General features: G+C 48.5%; 5 annotated features.

Annotated features, from left to right (window-relative positions):
* Nucleotides 3,321–3,836: an enhancer, noted in NCBI's record as "H3K27ac-H3K4me1 hESC enhancer chr6:168123500-168124015 (GRCh37/hg19 assembly coordinates)". NCBI's record gives its function as "activates a minimal SCP1, AML or CMV promoter by ChIP-STARR-seq in primed H9 embryonic stem cells {active_cell/tissue: H9 hESC(primed)}" and the evidence as "EXISTENCE:reporter gene assay evidence [ECO:0000049][PMID:30033119]".
* Nucleotides 13,113–13,681: an enhancer, noted in NCBI's record as "H3K4me1 hESC enhancer chr6:168113655-168114223 (GRCh37/hg19 assembly coordinates)". NCBI's record gives its function as "activates a minimal SCP1, AML or CMV promoter by ChIP-STARR-seq in naive H9 embryonic stem cells {active_cell/tissue: H9 hESC(naive)}" and the evidence as "EXISTENCE:reporter gene assay evidence [ECO:0000049][PMID:30033119]".
* Nucleotides 13,682–14,250: an enhancer, noted in NCBI's record as "H3K4me1 hESC enhancer chr6:168113086-168113654 (GRCh37/hg19 assembly coordinates)". NCBI's record gives its function as "activates a minimal SCP1, AML or CMV promoter by ChIP-STARR-seq in naive H9 embryonic stem cells {active_cell/tissue: H9 hESC(naive)}" and the evidence as "EXISTENCE:reporter gene assay evidence [ECO:0000049][PMID:30033119]".
* Nucleotides 17,592–18,312: an enhancer, noted in NCBI's record as "H3K4me1 hESC enhancer chr6:168109024-168109744 (GRCh37/hg19 assembly coordinates)". NCBI's record gives its function as "activates a minimal SCP1, AML or CMV promoter by ChIP-STARR-seq in naive H9 embryonic stem cells {active_cell/tissue: H9 hESC(naive)}" and the evidence as "EXISTENCE:reporter gene assay evidence [ECO:0000049][PMID:30033119]".
* Nucleotides 18,313–19,034: an enhancer, noted in NCBI's record as "H3K4me1 hESC enhancer chr6:168108302-168109023 (GRCh37/hg19 assembly coordinates)". NCBI's record gives its function as "activates a minimal SCP1, AML or CMV promoter by ChIP-STARR-seq in naive H9 embryonic stem cells {active_cell/tissue: H9 hESC(naive)}" and the evidence as "EXISTENCE:reporter gene assay evidence [ECO:0000049][PMID:30033119]".

The raw sequence follows: 22,526 nt of genomic DNA, 5'->3' as shown, positions 1-22,526 counted from the left end.
AAAAACCGGGTCAATAACACTGTCTTGTTACAATTGGAAAGGTGTCGTTCTCTCAAATTGTCATTTCCAAAGCAGGACTTATTTTCTTCTCTTGAACTCAAGGTAAATTCTAGCTGAGTGAACAGCTGAGAAGCCTGAACTCCTTTGTTAGTATTTTCAGATGAGGGCCTCTAATTGTCAGGCAGGAGTGCTGGATTCATGAAACTGGCTTAGGGCTGCTTTGGGCTTTTCACTAGCATATTTGCAAATGAGAAGAGAATTGGCAAGTGAAGATCCAATTTGCTCTGCCAATCACCCTCCATTTTCTCTTTGTATTTCCTATCGAGACAGACAGATTTTAAATGGCTGAGCAACCTTCCGCGCTGGCTCAGGAACCTACAGTGTCAGTACGGAACAGGTCCTTTCAAACGGATTGGAAGAGGAACGTCAAACAGCATCTCAGAGGGCTCTTGGCATTGCGACCCAGGGGCTGCATTTCCATGTTATCTTGCAGACTTGTACAGTTCCCAAGCAGTGGCATGGAATGAGAATGTGGTCTTAGGGCTCTAATTCTCTATCAGGGCACTCCTACCTGGAGACCAGCTGAACACAGAGCAAAGTACAATTTACCAAGATAGAGAAAATTTGATGCTGGTGAGCATTTCAATCTGAAGCAGAGCTGGGCTACATTGACCAGCACGTGAAAGAGGGTGGGGAAGGGCAGCTCTGCCATGAGCATGAACCCACCAAATGGCCCAAAGTCCTGAGTCTCCTTTGTAGGACCACAGGCAATTCATGCAGCCTCTCTCTCTGTTTTCCCACCTGTGAACCTGAGGACTGTGATGATGCCCTGTTTGCGGAAAATCAAGATCAGAAACCTGAAAACACTTTGCGGGAGTCACACTCTCTACGCAAAGTATATATACATTAAAGGTAAAACCATATGATGAAATATTTTTCTATTGTGCTGTTGCTGAAGGTTGGTGAAACCAAAGACAAGGCACACTTAAGTTGCCAGAATAGTCAAGAAAAAGAACTGAGGTGAAAAATTGGCCCTATCAGATATCAAGACACAGTGAGAAGTGATTGGAATCTGTGTGATACAGGTTCAAAAAATCATTTTCATTGTTTAAAGTCAAGAGTCCGGACTCATTCAAATTAGTAAGGGGAATTATGGGTTATTTAATAAATGCTGTCAGGACAATCATTTATGTGTTTGGGAAGAAGAGATCCCAATTCACGGTATTGACAAAAATAATTTTCAGATAACTGAATGTTGTATCAAAAATTCTAAAACTTACACATGAAAATATGTTTCAGTTTTCAGAGGTGGGAATGGGTCTTCTTAAGATCCCAAAAGACAAAGAAATAAAAGATTGATAAATTTGATCTCCTAAAATTTTTGATGTTTAAAATTTTAAAAATAACTTTTATTGGAGTGTCATATACAAGCAGAAAAGAACACAAATCTGTGACTTCCTTTGACTAGCAGGATGGTGTATAACATGCTAGGTGATTTCACGGCTGGGGTTTGGGATATCTGCAGTTTCTGTTACCCGAGGCTTGGAATCCTCCCTCTTAAAAGCAAACTGTGAGAAACTCAAGTCTCATGAGGATAACTGAGGCACTGAGCTCCCAGCCAGTATCCAGCTTCCTGTATGTGAGTGCGCCATCTTGAACTTTCCAGCATGGTTAGTCCCTAGGATTGCAGCCTAGTGCAGTGGAGCCAACTCTCAGAAAATAAAGGTAAAACCTTATTGTTTTAAGCCACTAAGTTTTAGGATGCTTTGTTATGCACAACAGATAACAGAAATACTTCTTTCTTCACGGCTGTGCAGAATCACTTTTATCATAAACCAAGCATCGCAAGGAGAGTCTTGTTCAGGACTCTCCTGTTCCATTGCTCCAGTCCACCAATACCACAGAATTTACTTGGATCTCTTTATCTCAGTAACATGCGGAAGTTCTCTATGTAGAGTTCTTGCACATTTTGTTTGATTTATTCCTTTTATATTTCCTGAATATGCAATTATGTCATCTGCCCAAACTAGAGGGTTTTTTTTTCTTACTTTCTAATCCTTACGGTTGCCTTTTTGTTTTTTGTTTTTTTTTAATAGAACTGGCAAGGACCTCCAGGACAGTGTTGAATAGAAGTGTCAAAAGAGGCATCTCCCTCACTGCCAGGCTCAGAGGGAAAGTTTTCAGTATTCCGTATTATCTGCGATATTGGGTGAATACTGCTCTTTTCCTTTGTAGATACCTTTTATCAGATTATGGACATTCCCTTTTATTTCTAATTTGCCAAGAATTTTTAAATTATAAATGTTTGCTAAATTTGATTGCATTCCTTTTATTGCACATTTGAGATGATGCTGTGGCTTTTTCCTTTATTCTACTAATAGGTTGAATTATATTCATTGATTTTCAAATGTTAAACCAGCCTTGCCTTCCTGGTGTACATCTAATTTGGTTGCCATGTACTTTCTTTTTCTATGTTGTTACATTCAGGTTCTTTTTTGGTGTCTATGTTTTAAAGAGACATTGACCTGTAATTTTTCTTTTTGTAATATTCTCACCAGATGTTTAGTGTAATGGCTGTGCTGGCCTTATAAGCACACATTAAGAAGTTTTCTTGGCTGGGCGCAGTGGCTCATGCCTGTAATCCCAGCATTTTGGGAGGTGGGCAGATCACCTGAGGTCAGGAGTTTGAGACCAGCCTGGCCAACATGGTGAAACCCCGTCTCTACTAAAAATACAAAAAAATTAGGTGGGTATGGCGGGCGCCTGTAATTTCAACTACTTGGGAGGCTGAGGCAGGAGAATGGCTTGAACTTGGGAGGTGGAGGTTTCAGTAAGCCGAGATCATGCCATTGCACTCCAGCCTGGGCAACAACAGCAAAACTTCATCACAGCAAAACTCCATCTCAACAACAACAAAACAACAACAACAACAAGAAAAAAGGAGTTTTCTCTCTTCTTCTGTTCCTGGAAGAGTTTTATTGTAAGTTTAGTGTTGTTTCTTTTTTAAATGTTTGGTAGAATTCATTAAAAAAGCCATCAAGGCCTGGAGCTTTCTCTGTGCTGAGTTGAAATTACAAAGTCAGTTTATTTAACAATGTACTATATAAGCCAGAAATTATTGTCGATATCTGTCATAGACAAAAAGATTGCCCTATGTGTACTGTGAATTATGCAGGGATATTAATTGCTGTGTATTTTTTTGAACAGTGAAAAATTGGAAACAACCTAAGTATTTACGACAAGGAACAACCCCAGCATATTTTTTATTAAATAAAGTAATTTTCAGAGCAATGTGTTTAGTCTGAATGTATTGAAAACACGTAGCACCGAGCCCCAGCACGGTGCTGTTTATTTTCTAATCCTGTTGGTTTCTGTGTGTGAGTGTGGAGAGGGGTAGTGAAGACACAGCGAACCAGACCAGCCACAGCGCTGGGGGAGCCGTGGAGGGAGGGTGGGGGGCGAACCAACGTTGTCAGTCATCTGTGAAGTGAGGTTTTCTTTTGACAAGGAAATGACTCCATGAAACTTGCGTAATAAAAACTTTCTTGCGGGTGCCCAGGAACAGATGTCCCTCGATACCTGCCCTGGTCTGCTCGGGTAGCGGCCATCCTTTATCCAGGCCCCACCTCCACCTCCTGTCCTCCAAGACCAGGGACTTTCTTCCCCAGAGGAAGCTTCCTCAAGCAGCTAGGGTGGGGCTTCCTCCTACCAGCACTTTCTGAGAGCAAGGCCGACCCAGGTCCCGGTGGGTCACTCCTGCCACCTCCTCTGGGTCCCAGAGCCGGCTGCAGCTGAGCGTGTGATCCAGGAGGAGCAATTGGAGCCCTCCCCTGGGTCAGTCCTCTGGGGGGTTCAGGGAAAGGCGGCCCCTCTGCCCTGGGGAGCCAGAGTCTGGGGAGCCCGTGGCTGTGCTTGCAGATGCCTGTCTTGAGAACCGAACCAAGGGAGGTGCACAGAGCAGAGGGAGACGCAGAGGCGGGACCCTGGCGGCTTCTGTGGAGCCGTGTGTTCCAGGTGACCTGAAGCCTGTGGCCCTAGTTGGTTCCCAGGGTGTGTGGGGCAACACGTTCCCCTCTGAACTTAGGCAGTGGAAGGCTGAGTTTTTATCTCAAATGCCTGAATGAGAATGTGGAAGAGTGGGATCCCGCCCTATTTATACTCCAAGAAGTGGTTTGTCTGTGCACTGGACACTCACTCTTTGTCTCCATTCTCTGTGAAATGGGTGGGTCAATGCTTTGGTTTTTTAATAGGATATTGATAAAGAATATAAAAGAATGACAACGTTTGAAATGTCCAACTAATAGAAATTGTGCCACAAACAAAATCAAATTTGCAGATGACGCAGACGTCCTGCGCTGCTGTGAGGCTGAGCGAGGGGCGGCTTGTGGGCTGGTGTGCTCTGTCAGCAGAGGCGTCAGCAACTCAGAAAGCAACTGGGTCCGGTTCTCTCCCAGCCGCCCAACTCCACCCCAGTCTTCAGGTCATATTGAGCATGACAAGAACTTCCCAAGTGGTGGCAGGTGTGCGCAGCTGCCATTTAACGATAAATACTATGTACTGACTTGTCACAGGCCAGGCACGACATCCCAGAGCTACACAAAATGACAATGGTAATGTTATTGACTGTATTGTACAGATGAGGAAACCGAGGCTGGCAGAGGGCAGTGAGGTACTCAAAGCGGCATTCATGTTAATACGCGGCGGAATCAATATTTGACTTAAACACCCGGCGCTCAGAGTGCGCACTTGCCATCACCATGGGGGCTGTCTGTGTGTTTGCTCAGGGACCACAGAGGTGACGAAACACTTGAGAGAAGGAAGTGATTTGCAAATACAATTTTTAAAAATTGATTTTAATATCCTTTGCCTTCTGGGGATTACAAGGAGTTAAAATGCAGCACGTAACCTAGCAGGTAGCAGCGGACAGGAAAATTAGGTTTCATTCTTATCATAGGGTTAGATTAGGAGTTTCACTTTAAAGACCGTCTTCCTGTCTCCTCTTCTTTTTAAAAAAGTACTTTGACTTCTCTGCAAAAGGCTTCTGGAGGAGTTAATGCTTCTTCAGGTATGAGAAAACCAACGCAGCAATGCCCTGCCATCGCTGCTGTTTCGGGCTGGCGCTCATGGAGCCCTGGGGCCATTTTCTCTTCCCTTGCTTGCTTGTGGAGAGAAGACCCAGGAGCGACGGTCCTTCAGCTGGGAGTGCAGGAAACCCTGCTCCTTCCTGGGACGCCCAGGGTGTGTTTGGCTTCAGGCGCGGATGAATCCAGGTTAAGATGGCCAGACTTAACAAAAAACAAAAAGAAACAGGGCACCCAATTAAATTTGAATTTCACATAAAGAATGATTTTTTTTTCTAGTTCAAATATGCCCCCTCTCCATTCTTTATCTAAAATTCCACTTTAAGTGGGCACCCAGTATCTCATCTGGCAACCTGAATCCTAGGGCTCAGGTAATCGTTACTCTGCCTCTCACTCCTCTCTCGGAGGCTTCTCCCGGCCGGATGGCTTTTGTTCTGTTCACGTCTGCAGTTGTGGTCGTGCTGTGTACCTTTCTAGAGAAAGAGAGGTCTCTTCTGTTCTCGGGGCTGTGTGCTGAATTTCAGGGGGCACGGCCTGTGCCCACCCCTGAACTCACAGCGGGTGCTGGGAAATGGAGCGTGTGGTTCTCCGGTAGAAGGCTGTGATGGGGGGAGTGAGTTGGCCCCACTCAAATGACTCGCAATGTGCTCCTTGCAGGAAGAGGGTTCTCCTGCCAGGACACAGTGCAAGGGATACCTCGCTGGCTGGACAAAACCACGCGGACTGCTGGGCCACGGTGCGCCATCCTTGCCTGACAACTGAAGGACAAAATCCCATCCATGTAAAACCCACGAAGCAGCTCTGTGCTGGAGGCCAGGGTCCCCGGACCGGGCCTCTTACTGTCGAAAGATTTTCTGCCATTTCAGTTATTTTCCTTTGTGTTAGAACAGAATTCTTCTGGGTCAGCAATAACATTCCTTTCCCTCATTTTGTAAATCTGCCCACAAGCCCCGGGTGCGGTCCCAGGAGGAAAGAGAGTGGGAGAGGGAAGTCCACGGGCCTGGGGCGTCCGTGTCAGCGGTCCCAGAGGACGCGGAGAAAGAATTCGAACCTCTGCTCCAAAGGCTATTACTAAATTTTAAGCTTGGCAGAAAATTGACCGTTCTGGAAATTAATATGACCATTAATAATGATACTAATTTAAAAAACGTGTTGTAGGGTCAGAGACAAACCATGCGGGGAAGTGCAGAGCCCAGAACTGTAGGCAACTGGGCCTTGGTGCATTCTTTAGGGTGTGTCAAAGTTTAATTAAAAAGAGCAGATATTTTGTTAAGCCATTGCTACAGGCGAACAGTGGAGACCTGCAGAGACAGCAGATAGAGTCTCGCCTTCCAGCACTGGCAGCGCTGTGTGGGGAGCAGGCGCGGCCCCGGGAGGCGACCAGGACGGGAGCCACAGGTGGGGACAGGGGGCCTGGGGCAGCTCCCGCGGGCTCCTGCAGAGGCAGAGGCTGGAGAGCAGGGACAGCGGGAGGAGTGGTCGCGGAACCGCTGACCCCTCCTCTCCCTGCGCCTCTGGTCTGGGCAGTGCTGGAGAACGGTGAGAGAAACCCAGCTGGTTCCACGCGGCGTGCATCCCCAGGAAGGCGGCCAGACGGCAGTCAGGCCTCCGTGGAACTCGAAACTCTCAGCTCATCCTTCAGAAAGAGGAGAAAGGCAGCGACTAAACGAGACAAATCCAACTGCTGCCTTCAGCGACGGGGTCTGCCAGGCGACAGGCAGGAAGGACGGAGATGCAAGTCCCCAGTTCTTTTTTTAAAATTTTGATTTAAGTTCTGGGATACACGTGCAGAACGTGCAGGTTTGTTACCTAGGTATACGTGTGCCATGGTGGTTTGCTGCACTGATCAACTTATCTAGGTTTTAAGCCCTATATGCATTAGGTATTTGTCCTAATGCTCTCCCTCCTCTTGCCCACCACCCCAACAGGTCCTGGTGTGTGATCTTCCCCTCCCTGTGTCCACATGTTCTCATTGTTCAACTCCCACTTATGCGTGAGAACATGTGGCGTTTGGTTTTCTGTTCCTGTGTTAGTTTGCTGAGGGTGATGGCTTCCAGCTTCATCCATGTCCCTGCCAAGGACATGAACTCATTCTTTTTTATGACTGCATAGTATTCCATGTGGTCTTAGGTTCTTGTTCCTCCGTGAGGTGACCACTGCCCGGGGATGGCAAGGCAAGGCGTGGGAGTTAATTAGACTTTCCGTCTGTTTTAGATTGAACATAAAATAGCAAAATAAAAATAATCTTCATGTTCCCACCCTCTAATGAAATGTGCACCCACCAAACCTCTTCCTCAGAGTAAAACTAGTTCCTTAGGGACATGGACACCGTGAATTCCAGGAGGCCCCTGCGGTGGTGTGGACAGGCCAGCATGCTCAGGGCTGTGAAACTCAGCTCTGCTGTTTTCTTGCCGAGTGACCCTGGGTCTGTGACTTGACATCTCTGAGCCTCAGCTTCCTCATCTCTACCACGCGGATATAAGACCCTCATCACAGGGCTGGTGAGTGGATCACAAGACATGCTTTCCCTCCTCTTAGCAAAACAGCTGTGACCAAGAGGACAGATAAAGGAAGGGGAATCATGGTGTCAGTCCTGCCAGCACTTAGGGAGTAGCTCATTGTATTAGTCCGTTTTCACTCTGCTGATAAAGACATACCCGACACTGGGCAATTTACAAAAGAAAGAGGTTTAATGGACTTACAGTTCCACGTGTCTGGAGAAGCCTCACAATCATGGCGGAAGGCAAGGAGGAGCAAGTCCTGTCTTACATGGAGGGCAGCAGGCAAAGAGAGAATGAGGAAGAGGCAAAAACAGAAACTCCTGATAAAACCATCAGATCTTGAGAGACTTATTCACTACCACGAGAACAGTATGTGGGAAACTGCCCCCATGATTCAACTGTCTCCCACTGGGTCCCTCCCACAACATGAGGGAATCATGGGGGTATAATTCAAGAGGAGATTTGGGTGAGGACACAGCCAAACCATGTCACCTATCATGTGCTCGGCCCTGAGGTAGGCTTGGATAAATGATGTTTATTTTCATGCATGGAGTTTATGAGCCTATTGTAGGGTGGGAATACTCCATCATGCAGTTAGTTAATAAATAATAAATATACAAATAATTCCAGAGTAAATTATTTAGTGCAAAGTATAAATTCTGTAGGAGCCTAGGGCAAGGGAAATAGATGAGGAGTTAGGGTAACGGTGATCATGCTAAAAATAGCTAACCTTTTAATACGGCTGTTAAGCTAGATCACTCAGGATTAGGTTCAGCTGCAGGTAGCAGAAATCCCACCTAAGAGAGTCTTCAGCTGGATAAATGATATTTCTTTTACATAGAAGAAACCCAGAGGTAGGCAGTCTGGGGTTGGCTTGTTGCCCTTCATCTCACTCCCATTGCTTGTTATTAGGGATCCAGATTTTTCTGTCTTTCTGCTCCATAGTCCTTAATGTGTAGCTTCTAGTCTCCAAATTTCCTCATGGTTGCAAAATGGCGCTGCAGCTGTAGCCATCACATCTGCATTCCAACTAGCTGAATCTGTCCCCTTCAAGTGGCTTTCCTGGGAGCCCCACCCAACAACTTTCTATTGCTAGGGAGCCAGGAAATTTAGTTTCTTAAGAAGGGCACCTTACTGTTTCTAACATATAGGAGTTTTGTGATTAAAAGAGAAGAATAGCTATTGGATACACGGTAGAGAGCACCTGACTGTGAGGTACAGAGCTTCTCCCCTTGTTCCATCTGCCTTGTCTCCTCTTTCTCTCCACTCCACCCTCTTTCCACAGCCCTGGACTCAGCTTAGACTGGCCCAGTGCGAGACGCCTTGGCTCCGTGTGTGTTATGTGCTTCCACATGGCAGCCCGTTTACCTGGACAGTCTGTTTGTCTGCCTAGCTAGACTGCTTCATTTGCCCTGGTGTATCCAGAGCTGAGTGTAGGGCCTGGCACATAGCAAGGTTTCCACAGGACCCTGGGGGATGAAGGTTCAGTGCCGCGTGCGTTGCCTGTTCTATGCAGGTGCCCTCGGGCGCAAGCACCCAGGTGAGGTGGAGGCAGAAGGAAGAGTTGTCCAGTGTCCAGGTCAGACCTCTGTGGATAATCATAATTACTTTACTGAAGTCCTTTTGGTTGCTGTGTTTAGTTTTGTTCTAAACACTGTAATTTAGCCAGGCCACCTCTTCACTGATCAGTATTCCATTGGTGTAATTATTGTCTTTTGCTTAACAAAAGGACATTTTTGACTAAGAGGTATCTTCCCAGACTATGTCAATTTGCTGGAGAGGACAAGGTCTGTGTTAAAAAAAGAAGGTGGAGAGGGAGGAGCAGCCCAGCTGTGAACCACGGTGATGAGTGAATTGATCCTGGAGGAGATGAGCCCAGGTGGGCACGAGGAGCAGTGGAGCGGGGCTGCTGCTGGAGGACTTCCTTCTCTTCTCATTAGGAAATAACTATTGCTTAGGAGAATGTTATCTGTTTGTTGGCAGGGGACAGGGGTGGATCAAGAAAACAGAAAGTACAAAAAGTCAAAAATGTATTCCCAGTCTCATCATCTGGAAATCACTACTTTTTTTTTTAACTCTTATTTTAGGTTCAGGGGTACATGTGCTGGTCTGTTATGTAGGTGAACTTGTCATGGGGGTTTGTGGTGTAGATTATTTCATCACCCCGGTACTAAGCCTAGTACCCAATAGTTATTTTCTCTGCTCCTCTCCCTCCTCCCACCCTCCACTCTCTGATGGGCCCCAGTCTCTGTTGTTCCCCTTGTTGTGTCCATGAGTGCTCATCTTTTAGCTCCCACTTCTAAGTGAGAACATGTGGCGTTTGGTTTTCTGTTCCTGCGTTAATTTGCCAAGGATAATGGCTTCTGGCTCCATCCATGTTCCTACAAAAGACATGATCTTGCTCTTTACTCTGGCTGTGTAGTGTTCCATGGTGTATACATACCACATCTTCAGAGTCCAATCTGTCATTGATGGACATTTAGGTTGACTCCATATCTTTGCTACTGTGAATGGTGCTGGTATGAACACAGGTGCACATGTGTCTTTATGGCAGAATGATTTATATTCCTTTGGGTATATATCCAGTAATGGTATTGCTGGGTTGAACGGTAGTTCTGTTTTTAGCTCTGGAGGAATCACCACACTTCTTGCAGATCACTACGGTTAATGTTTCATAAACATCATTTTAGAGCTTTTGCCATGTGTATATTCTCCCAGAAGAGTAGATAGAAATAATTTTACACAAATGAAATACATCATGTATTCGATTTAACATTACTTGTATTTAACTAAAGAAAATGAATCTCAAACTGAACATGAAGGAAATGGATAAGTGAAGATGTGTGTTTTCTTTATAAGTGATATTAGTGATTTTTCCTAAAAATCTAAAATTCAAAAAGTTAAGCTACAAAGTTGGGGTTAGGGTCAACCTTTTTTTTTTTTTTAAATCTAATGTTATAACTTTAAAAAGATCTGTTGATTTCTTCCCCTTGAATTTGCACAATTCATATCTCCTACCCACTTTTCTTCCTCCCCCATGACTTTTGTTCGTAGACTATTTTTACAGACTTGCATTTTATATCATCTACATTTTGTTCCGTGCCACAATTACCATGTATTTCATGTGAGACCCTTCCATATTCAAATGCATTCAGCATTCTTTCCTTCCAGCTTCTTCATGCCTGAATTTTAACATTTTTATGATTCAACTGCTGTATGGCTAAATTTTTGTCATCAAGTATTTTTTTTTTCGAGAAGGGCTCCTGGGTGCTATAGTGATGGAATTCTTCTGTGGTTGAGAATACACCTTAGCAGGTTCTATGTATGGCTGAGCCTTGAACAACAGGGTTTTGAGCTGTGCGGATCCACTTATATGTGGATTTTCTTCCCCCTCTGCCACCCTCCTCTTCCTCCTCCTCCACAGCCTCCCCAGCGTGAAGACGACGCGGATGAAGAGCTCATGACGATCCATCCCCAATTCATGAATAGTAAATGTCTTTTCTCTTTCTCACTATTTTCTTAATAACGTTTTCTTTCCTCTAGCTCACTTTATTATAAGAACACAGTATATGATATAAATCACGTATAAAATAGGTATTAATCAACTGTGTATGTTATCAACAAGGCTTTTGCTCAACAGTAGGCTATGAGGAGTTACGTTTTTGAGGAGTCAAAAGTTAAGCTGATTTTTTTTTTATTGCATGGGGCGTCGACACTGCTACCCCACGAGCTGTTCAAGGGTCCGCCGTCACTCTTGGGTGTCTTTTCCCTCAGGAGGAGCCGGTACCTGACCTGGAATGCCTGGTGTGAGCGTAGCTGGGCAGGGGACACCTCTGCCTCGTAGGAGGCTTTTCCCCAGCCTGGACACTCACATGACATTTTCTCACCCTGGAGACTCAGTGACCCCACTCGGGCGTGTCTCGGTGAGGAATGGTTGTGAGCCGGTTGTTCCTAGAACAGGGGAAAAATGTCCCTTTAATCTGCAGATGCAGACTTGGCTTGTTGAGGAACATCTTTCCAATTTTATCTATATATTCTTTTCTGTTCTATTTATTTCTGTTTCAGATATACCGGTTGTCCCTGTATTGGGCTCATCTTCATATTTAATTAGGTTGAATCATATGAAATTGTTATTTTTGACCACTTTTTAAAACCTATAAAAATTCAGAGAAAGCCGCTCAAATATTCTTGTGGTTCCAATTAAAATTCCTTTCTTTTCCCTTGTCCTTTCTTTCATTGCATTATCTGTGATTATCAATAAGCCCTTTCTGCATGTACCTAATCAGGATTTAGCTGTGTTTATCCGGCTCCTTGTGGTTTCTGATATAGGTATTATTTATCTAATGAAGAATTAGTAGCCTCAATTTGTTTCTGTATCTCTTCAATTTTTCTTTGCATTTTATTCCAGTTGTCTCATTTCATTTTTGAATTCTTTTCTCAGCGACTTCTTACTCTCTTTATTTTTAGCTAACTTTCACATTATTTATTATTGGAAGCTTTTTAAAATTTCTTGCAATATGCTGCAACAGTAGGTTTAACCTTTGTGTTTTGCACGCAATTTCTCTCTCTCTTTTTTTTTCTTCTCAGCTGTACTATGTCTAGATACTCCTGTGCCTGTCTGCCTGCCTTTCTCTCTTCTAGCCGCCCTCCCTCCCTTCCTGCTTTCCTTCCTTTTCAGCTCACTCAACGTGGGAAGCCCTGTGAATCTTCTCTCTGCCTAAACAGAATGTGAAACTTCCCTGGGACTGTTGGGTTCTGTATCCTCCCTGCTCTGGTGGGGCTTGAAGGTACAGCTGGAAGCTCTCATCTTTGTGCAATTTTGTTAGTAGTCTGGGACGGTGGAGGAACTCTTGCAAGCTCAGGGCACAGCCCGTTCTGCAGGCGATGCCCTTGGGTGTCCGCTTATTGCCCCGATTTAGGAAGGAGTTTGTTCTCTGCCAGATACAAGGACCCCTGTGTGGGCTCCTCCCATCCCCATGGAAGCAGAGAAAGAGGGGGATGGGGCAGGGGGGAGTTGCCCCTGGATGTCCTGAGGATCCCTGTGCCTGAAGGGGTCTTGTTCTCTTTCCAATTCCTTCCCTCCATCCTAATGTGTTTGCTGCTATAGAATATTCCGCCCTGGACAACTGCGGTCAGTCGGTCCTCTCGTTTTCCTCTCCAGCTCCTCCTCCTGCTCATCTCTGGGGTTCCTCGGAGGTAAGAGGTAGGTGAGGGCTTTAACCCCAGAGACTCTCCTTCAACTGCTGACCAGTTGTTTCTTTTCGAATTTAGGTTTATTCGTGAAAAAGCTCAGAATGCTATCCGCTTACCCTCTTCCCCAAGGTTCTATTTCTCAGGGACAGGAGGCTGTTGTTGATTCCCATACTTTTTCCTCCTGGACTTCACTTTTAAAAGATGATGACATGAAGCTAGCCTTTCTTTTTTGGATGTTACTGTAGTGTTTTAAAACTGGTTTTCACTGGTTGCTTATTGTTCAGTTTTATTAGGTTTTGCAGGATGTTTCTGTGGTCTGGCTTTATTTGGAGAAGGACCCTTAGTGTGTTTTAAATATAATGTAAAATGTAAAGGTCATTTCCACAATGCTCAATTCCTAGGCTTCCTCCCAGGTGTCTTCCACCAGCCTCTGATACACAGGTCTCTGCCCCTGGAGACGCCTGCATGGCCTCAGACAGACCCAGCCCTCTCTACCTCTCACTGTGCTCCCCCGAGTCCCTGCAGAATATGCTGGGAATTCATGGTCCTGAGATGGGAGGGGCTGGCTGCAATAGCCTCGCTCTGTTCCAGCCCTTCCAAAACCAGGATGGCCTTGCCTGCTTTACCCCAGTGAGTCCTGGAACGCCAAGGTATAAAACCCAGGGCGGGATGCTTTCTGGGGTCCTCAGCCACAGTGCAAATAGAGCACATTCAGGTGAGACCTCTCTGCCCCAGCCACTTCCCTGAGCCTGGGGGACTGCCTGGCTATGAGCCCTGGGCTCCTGCGGTTCCTCGATGCCTATATATAAGTAGTCACCCGCTTCACGTAGCTTGTGTGGGAGGGGTCCTGGCTCCCTGGACTTGGGTAAGTAGTAAGAGTGCAGCCCAGGACGCCGTGGGCTGAAGTGGAGGCCAGTGCCTGGCAAGCCTGCTTCCAACCTCCTGCCTGTGTGGCTTCCTGTGCCCCACCCTCCAGGGCTCTTGCTGCCTCCCCACCAGCGTGCCCACGTCTGCCTCCTCTGCTGCCCCTTTGGGTCCTTCGACCTCTCGCAGTGGCCGTGGTCCAGGCGTCAGTCCTTGGGGCCTTGTTTTTCCCTTCTTGGTGGTCTTGTCCAGGCTGTGGGTTTAAACCCCTTCATGCGTTGATGACCTTGATGCCTCTCTCTTCCGGACCTATCTTCCGAACCCCATCTCAGCCTCCCTGATGGGAGGGCTCACAGGTGTTCCCTGTCCACCCAGCCCGTGCCACCTGCCATCCACATCCTAGCCCTGGCAGTGCACCTGGCCTGGCAGAATCAGGCCGGCTCTGAGGCAAGGAGAGCACTGAGTGCTGGGGGTGGGTGAGGCGGGGCGGGCAGAAGCCAGCAGGCAGCGGGTCCATGGGAGAGGGACGGCTGTGCTGGCACCCACTGAGGACCCTCACCCAGCCCGCGCCACCTGCAGCCTCCCTATCCCAGCCTGTCCAGGGGAGGAACTTCCAACCCAGGAGCCACCCTGGCCCCTTTCCTTCTCCACGCCCACATCCAGGCTGTCAGAAAATTCTGTCTCCGCTTTCACAGTTCAGACCCAGAGCCCGCTGCTGCTCCAACTTCCCCACCAGTCCCAGCCACCCTCATTCCCCCTCCATTATGCAACGGGCTTCTATTTCTCAGTCTCCTTGCTTAACCTCTGCTTATTCTCAGCAAGGGGATACCCACAATGGCTTACTCTCTCTTTCAGAATAACAGGCAGTTCCCCAGGCCCTATCTCTCCATTCTCACCTCCCTCTGCCTAGAAGGGTCCTCCTGGAAGCACATCTCTGCTCAGCGCCCCTGCTCAGCTGCGGCTTCTGGTGAGGCCTACCCTGGCCACTTCATTTCAAATTGCAGCTCTCCCTGGCACCTCCGCCAGCTTTACTGTCACTGTTCACACCCTACGCTGTGTTCCTATTTCCTGCTCCTTATCTGTTTCTCTTGTTGGAGTGCAAATTCCACGAAGGAAGGGTTTTGATTCTCTTCAGTTCACAACTGTGCCCAGCACCTAGTAGACAACACACATGCAGTGAACAAACACATCAGTGCAAGTTCAGTAAGTGAATTCTCATGGAAACAAGCTGTGGATTTAGAAGCAAAAGGCTTGGGGTCCCATCCTGAGTCCACCACTCGTGCAAACGCTCCATGATTCGGTCTCTTACCCCTCAGGTGGGGATGCTACCAGCCTGAATGATGGTGGCAATGTGCCTGCCATGGTTACCTAAATGAAAATCCACTTCCAGATTATGTCTAGTGCATAAATTAAGTAGCTACCTGGGCTCAGAAAATAGCCAGAAGTGGAAAGCTTTATAAATAGTGGGTTACAGGAAAAATAAAGAACTTTGTTCAGTCACCTCAGCTGCAGTCAACCCCCAAGGAGGGAAAGAGGAGCCCCACCGCCTCCCGCATGTCATTCAGCTCCTCTCCCAGCCAGCTTCGTCTCCACATGCACACAGGCTCAGGGTAATTACACGGCTTGTTTGAGAAGCCAGTCTGGAGCCAAATTCTTCTTTTTCCCTCAAATGCGCGGCCTGTTCTCCTACGCCGCAGCAACCCTCAACTGCAAAACATACAAATGAAATATTCAGATCATTACTTCTGATATCATTACTCTTCACTTCCTCACTTTTTTGTGAACTTCTATTAATAGACCATACTTAGGTGACCCAGAGGGACAGGCCATCACTTACTAGAATTTGAAGTAATTATTTAAAAACATTGATTGGACTTAGCTTTCTACCCTTTATGGAGAAATTCTAATGACCTGACTTCATTGTGCACATTATCCAATTTGCACATCAACACGTGACATTTCTGTTTAATTCTGGTTTTGTCACATTGATTTTTTCCCCTAGTATATAATAATGCCATCATATTGAGAATTATAAAAGTTCAGAACGATCCCTAACTCCCCTGAAACCTGTCATTATACTTACATTTCCAACTAACTTTCTAGAATTCTATGTTTCTTCCTTTGTTTTATGAAAATTCCAGGTAGTGAGGCTTCATTTCCTTGGCAAGGTCTCTTTGGGAACTTTTCCTTGAAACACAGAGAAGGAGCTGGCTCTCAGCATCACTAAGACGGCTCTGCTGGGCTCTCTCCGGCGGGTGCGGGGTCTGCAGGCACACATGCTATGGCGCAGGCTGTGTGACTGCAAAACCCACCAGGAAAGACCCAGCAAGGGAACTGGGGTTGCCATCCGTGTGTGAAAGGGAGAAGGGATGGAAACTTGTTTGCGTCTGTCCCCTGGTGAGCACTTGCTTCCCGATGACTCTCATTATTCATAAAAAGCGTGCATCACAAAGATAACCCCAGCTGCATGGAAGGTGCCAAGATGTGATGGAAATTAGGAGGAGGTAATTGCTCGCCCGTGCTCTCTCTGTGATAAGCTTCCATGAGAGAAGACAGAATATTTAAGAGCCTGAAGTCACCATGTGATGCCTGTACAACGAGGCCAGCATGGCTTGCTGGAGCCCCAGAGAACGTCTTTGATGATGACATTGCCCTCAATGCTCCTGGTTCTCTTTTTCCTTTTCTTTTTAAAAATAACTCCTCCCGTCTCCCCAGGGCCTTCACTAGTGCGTCTGGGAGGTTATTTGGAGGTGGGAGAGCTTTGGATCAGGATGATGAATATCGAGGACTTAGCTCTGTGTCGGGCACCCAGCGGCACCCTGGACTCAAGAGCCGCCCCCCAGATGGACACTTTTCAGGAGCCGGGGCTGCCCCCAGGGCACCTGCCCACCCGTTCCCATTAGAGCCATCTCTCCACATGAATGGGGACTGGCAACCCTGGCGTCTGAGTTGTGCTGTCCGGCAACTGCCAGGCTGGTTCACAGGCTGTGGGGTGTGATGGGTGATGCCAGGCTGTGGGGTGTGATGGGTGATGCCAGGCTGGTTCATAGGCTGTGGAGTGTGATGGGTGATGCCAGGTTGGTTCACAGGCTGTGAGGTGTGATGGGTGATGCCAGGCTGGTTCATAGGCTGTGGGGTGTGATGGGTGATGCCAGGCTGTGGGGTGTGATGGGTGATGCCAGGCTGGTTCACAGGCTGTGGGGTGTGATGGGTGATGCCAGGCTGGCTCATAGGCTGCGGGCTGTGATGGGTGATGCCAGGCTGGTTCACAGGCTGTGGGGTGTGATGGGTGATGCCAGGTTGGTTCACAGGCTGTGAGGTGTGATGGGTGATGCCAGGCTGGTTCACAGGCTGTGGGGTGTGATGGGTGATGCCAGGCTAGTTCACAGGCTGTGGGGTGTGATGGGTGATGCCAGGCTGGTTCACAGGCTGTGGGGTGTGATGGGTGATGCCAGGCTGGTTCATAGGCTGCGAGGTGTGATGGGTGATGAGGTTCACCCCCCGATACTTTCAGCTGAAGCTATTTGAGAAAAGTGCAGAAGCAGGAAGCCACACTCACCTTCCTTCCTCCTCTCCTGACTTGGGTCATAAAAGTCAGGCAGGACTCTCTGGCCCTCCCGGGAAGCTGGTCTAGGAGCCCCGCCTGTGAGAAGTGGCCACCCCATCATGTGGAGTGGAGTGTCCTTAGCTCGGGAGCTGAAGGGCCACACAGGCCTGCCAGGTCCCCCCGCTTTGCTGCCAGTAGATCATGCTGCTTCCTTCTGTTCTTTCCTTCCACCGCCCCATTTTCACCAAACCCCCTGTGAAACACACTCAGGCTCGCCTGTTTCTTCGGGTTGGCATTTCCTTATGAAGGCTCTTGTGTCACATAAAACTTAGATGAAGTAAAATGTGCACTTTCCTTTGTCCATCTGTCTGTTGTGATAGAAGCTTCAGCCGTGAACCTAGGATGGGTGAGGAAAGACGTCTTTCCCCTACTGAGCAGCTCTGTTGGAAGTTTTGCATCCTTTCCTTCCTCCCCTGTTGGCTGCTATTCCCAGGACCCCTTCCTTGTCCACTGTCCCTCCCTTCCCAGCCTGAATGCGACAATGGAGACTGCCTTGGGACGGCTTGGAGGGCCTCCACTGGCCTTCCCTTCTGTGCCTCTCTTGCTCTTCCTGCTGTCCCCACCCCTGTGGGTCTGCATCCTGCAGAGGTGCACACGGTTCCTGTGGGACAGTAGAGAAAGCATAAGCTATACACAGGCTGCTGAGCAGGTGCCACACGCTCTCGTGCTTAATCTATTCCTGGACCTGGGCTACAGAAACACGCCAAGAAAAAGGTGTAGAAGTTATTACCCTGAAAGGAAAGAATCATCAAAACGAAATTCAACAGGTGTCACCCAAGGATGTTGGCCTAGGAAGGCACTCCCTGGATGCGGCGCCGTGCTGTGGGGTGCCTGCGGCTGTGGGGTGTGCCTGGGCCCGCCATGGGTCCAGGGCAGCCTAGGGCGGGTGTGGATGGGAGCCTGCAGGGCTGGGGTCTCAGTGGAGCGGGAATCCTGTCTTGGCCCCAGGATCTTCCTGCAGTGCTTCAGGTAACATTTTTCTAGGCTGCAGGAAGATTTCCAGGAGCTTCCTTGAGATGGCTGCAGCCTTGTTTGCGTCCTTGGTGAATACGTAGATGTTTCACGATTCTTGGTCATCTCTGAATCCGGGAGATCGACGCTGAGTCCTACTGGCGCTCCTGCTGCCTCGCTGGGCTCACTGTGGGTGTCCAGCGGCCCTGGACCAGCCCAGATGCAGCCTCTCGCCTGGAGGGTATTCAGGAAGGAGGCCAGTGTCAAGCAACTCCACCCTATGGATTCTGTTTCAGATAAAACATGCTCATTTGGCCAAGGCCAACACAGGCACCCTCCCCCTGCTTTGTCTGGACGTAAGCAGCTGAGGCTTGGCCCTGCACCGTCAAGAGGTCTACCTGGCTGCAGAGGCTCAGCCTCCCCCCTGAGCACTGTGGGGTGTCTTCCACCCTCCCCATCACATGCTAAGCTCTTTCCTTGTAGCCATGGGGCATCGTGACAACATATTTAGCAAAATGCCACAGCTGTCATACGTGTGTTTCTCCAGCTGCTGCTTCTGAGCCAGCTTCCCAGGCCTCGGATAGACCAGAGTTCGCTCATCATGCCGTCTCTTCAGTGACTGATTACGCGGGAATTCGGGAAGTGCCGACTTTCCCCGGATGACTGGGTTTCTTGATGTGATACTCCGCTCAGCAAATCCTACCTTCCTTTCCCTTTGCAATTCTTGAGACCATTTTCTGCTTGACAATAAAGTGACCTTAAGGCACCGTGTTCATTTCAGTTTCAGACAGTTGTTTTGCTCCTTTTTTCCTGTGAGAGAAAGACACGAAGCCCCCTTCCCTGCTGCCGACTTTCTTGGTGTGTCCCTGATGCCAGGCCACCTGTGTCTTCACGGGAAACTCCACAGACCAGGGGCTGTGTAAGATGTCTGGGTGATGTACAGTCACTTTCTGCAAACTTAGAGCATGAAATAGTCAGGACAACATGTCAGCCAGGTCATACCCTTCAGTTGACTATAGTTTTGTCTGGGAGTGAAATTCTAAACTGCCAAGCAGCTTCTGTGTTATGCTGTAATCATTTAGAGCCTTCTCATTTTTGTAAGACTTTTGACTTATCTGTTTCTTGCTTAAATGCTTTCTTCTTTAGTTACGCCTTTCCTGGATGGACATGCGGGCTGTGCTATGTCTGGAGAGGCACCGGGAATCCAGTCACTGAGGCATGCTCACCGTGGCTTCAACTGTGGGCATTGATTTCTTCCCTGAAACCCTGGAGGAGACACATCGGGGCTGTTCTCCTGGCTTCTTCAGGTGTGTGTTCACACCTGCATCTGGGCCTTATGGCCTCCCTCACGGGGCCACATGGGAAGGCCGGGTGCAGGGAGGCTTCTGTGGTGGGGCTGGGGGTGTCTTGTGAGCTTCTTCCTCTCCCTCTTTTCTTCCTTTGTTGTTGTTTTTTTAAATCATGAAGGAAGAGTGATTCCCAGAATCTCACCCCTCTGGACTTACCCTTGGTCTCATTGGCCAGAGCTGGCCACGTGACTACCATACTGGCCATGGAAACTGAGGCAGCAAATATCTGGGTTTTCAGGCTATGGTGGGAACAGCTGTTGAGAACAGCAGCCGGGTCTCAATCGTGGACTGAAGTAAAGCTGGCTGTAGGTCCTCATCCTGCTGTCCCGTCGCTGCAACGAACCGCAGCTCCTCTCATCAACAGGGGCTCCTTTCCCACCCTTGGAGGCCGCGCAGCCTCTGACTTGCTTTGGCCGGTAGGAAGGGGGCCTTGCCCAGCCGAGGCCTAAGACGCCGTGAGCTCTTGCAGTTCCCACGAAGCCCTGTACTGTCACGAGCATCTGCCTGGGGCCCTGAGAGTCTCTGCGGGGCCCAGCTGGCGTGGGAGGGGGCTCGGCAAAGCTAGGTGAAGCCACCCAGCCGAGCCGGCTGAGCAGATGCATTCATTCTCCTCCGCCCCAGCTCAGAGAGCAGCCCTGCCCCAACACCACCTCGACGGTGAGCAGGCGCCAGTGGTGGTGGTTACGTGCACAGAGGTTTGTGGTTGTTTCTTGTGGTTACCACTGTGGCAATAGATAACTGATAATGGAAACAATAGCAACTACAGACGCCCTCACTATAGAATATTTAGAGGGCTAAAAATGTGTAAATACAGAAAATCACCCGGAAGCCTACCCTGCAGAGAAAACTATTATTAACACTTGGCAGGGGTGCCTTTATTTTTCTATATACTCCTTTTTCAAGTGTAGACATTATACGGTATGTAATTTTTTTCATTTAATGGTAAAAGTTTGTTTTTCATTTTAATGAACACTCTTCTTAAATATCAGTGTAATAGCATGTAAATATTGGGTTATTTGTATAGTTCAAAATTTGTATAAGCATTCCAATTTTGGATATTTGAATTTTTAAAATATTAATGCAATGAACATATCAGTACATAATATTTTTGCTCATATGCACTTTACTTCTTTCCTTAAGATGTATTCTTAGAGATGGGAGTCCTGGGCCAAAGGCAGGTGGCAGCGTCCCCGTCCTGTACCCATCCCGCTGCCTTCTAGGAAGCTGGGGCTGGGTCGTGTGCCCACATCCCATGGATGGAGAGTTCTGTTTCACTCACCATCAGCAGCACAAAGCGTCATCATTTGAAATGTTTCCTTCATGCTTCTAGAAGAAAGGTGTTTTCATTTTAACTCCAGTCGCATGGTGCTCACCTGCTGTGGTGCGTGTCTGTCTCCGCCAGCCGCAGGCACCAGCACGGGAGGCTTGTGTGGCCCAATTCTGGCATTGATATTTGTGGGAACGTGGGTGGACAGGGCCCGAGCAAAGTTTGCTAGTCCCTGAGAAAACAGCCCAAGAGGACACATCTCTTCCTCTTCCACTGGCCATGGTCAGATCTGAATGTGACGGTGGGACCATCGCAGCCTCTCTCGACCCAGGGTCCTGGCTGCCTGAGACGCGCAGAGCTCCTGAACTAACCAACCCTGAGCTCGCCCTGCCCGGATCTGCACCTCCGTTCTTTAAGGAAATGCACGTGGTGCTGCTCCAGCCGTCAGGCTTGTGCGTGTTCTCTGCGGCTGGCGCCTCCCGCGTGCCGTCCTGTGGCCTCGCCCTCCTCCTACTGCTGCTCGGCAGCTGGGGGCTTCTCTCCAGGGTCGTGTGATGGCCTTTTGAAAAATGTAACCAATAAACTCAGACACCTGGAAGCTGCAAAGTGTGTATGTGCCTCTTAATAAAAGATTTTTTAGCATGCTTGTAATTACAAATTTGTTTGCAATTAATATTAAATAAAGAAATAACAAAGAAGAAAAAGTAGATTTCTGGTTTGGTCCTTCCTGGGCCAGCTCTAGTTCAGGGGCTCTGAGGATGCTGTGGTCAGAGAGGCCCTACCAAACACCCCTCTCAAGACCTTTCTTCTCTGTATGGGTGGTGGAGACACAAAATAAACAGGGCTTTCCCTGTGAGGGACAGAAATAAAGAGGATTCAGAGAAGGCCACTCTGAGGAGGAGACATTGGACCTACCACGTGAAAAGAAAGAGAAGGAATTCACTTCAAGAAGGGTGAATTCTCATCAAGACCAGTGAAAGAGTATTTCAAGCTGTCTTGGTGCTGCACATTTGGCAGTAAAACCAGGAGCTTGGAGTACAGTGGTCTGAAGCAGCAGGTCCAGCGACAGCTGCCAGAGGAGGGTGGGCCTCAGGCTGACCCCGGGCAGGAGCTCTGTGCTGACCGTGGAGTCTGCTGGGGCCACTGTGCTATGTCTTCCACTGCTGGCCAAACCTTCGCCCAGGGTCCTGGCAGTGGCCAGAGGAAAACAAGCCAACCACGTTCAGACACGTTCCTGGAGCTGGGAGGAGTCTCTCTGGAACTGGGAGGTGTCTCTCCGGAGCTGGGAGGAGTCTCTCTGGAGCTGGGAGGAGTCTCTCCGGAGCTGGGAGGAGTCTCTCTGGAATGAGGAGGAGTCTCTCCAGAACTGGGAGGAGTCTCTCCGGAACTGGGAGGAGTCTCTCCGGAGCTGGGAGGAGTCTCTCCGGAACTGGGAGGAGTCTCTCCGGAACTGGGAGGAGTCTCTCCGGAACTGGGAGGAGTCTCTCCAGAACTGGGAGGAGTTGCTCCGGAACTGGGAGGTGTCTCTCCAGAACTGGGAGGAGTCTCTCCAGAGCTTTGAGGAGTCTCTCCGGAGCTGGGAGGAGTCTCTCCGGAACTGGGAGGAGTCTCTCCGGAGCTGGGAGGAGTCTCTCCGGAACTGGGAGGTGTCTCTCTGGAGCTGGGAGGAGTCTCTCCGGAACTGGGAGGAGTCTCTCCGGAGCTGGGAGGAGT

This window comes from Homo sapiens, chromosome 6, assembly GCF_000001405.40.
Source record: "Homo sapiens chromosome 6, GRCh38.p14 Primary Assembly".
Classification (NCBI taxonomy): domain Eukaryota; kingdom Metazoa; phylum Chordata; class Mammalia; order Primates; family Hominidae; genus Homo; species Homo sapiens.
The sequence above is the reverse complement of the archived record's forward strand: the minus strand, read 5'-3'. Positions and strand labels throughout refer to the sequence as shown.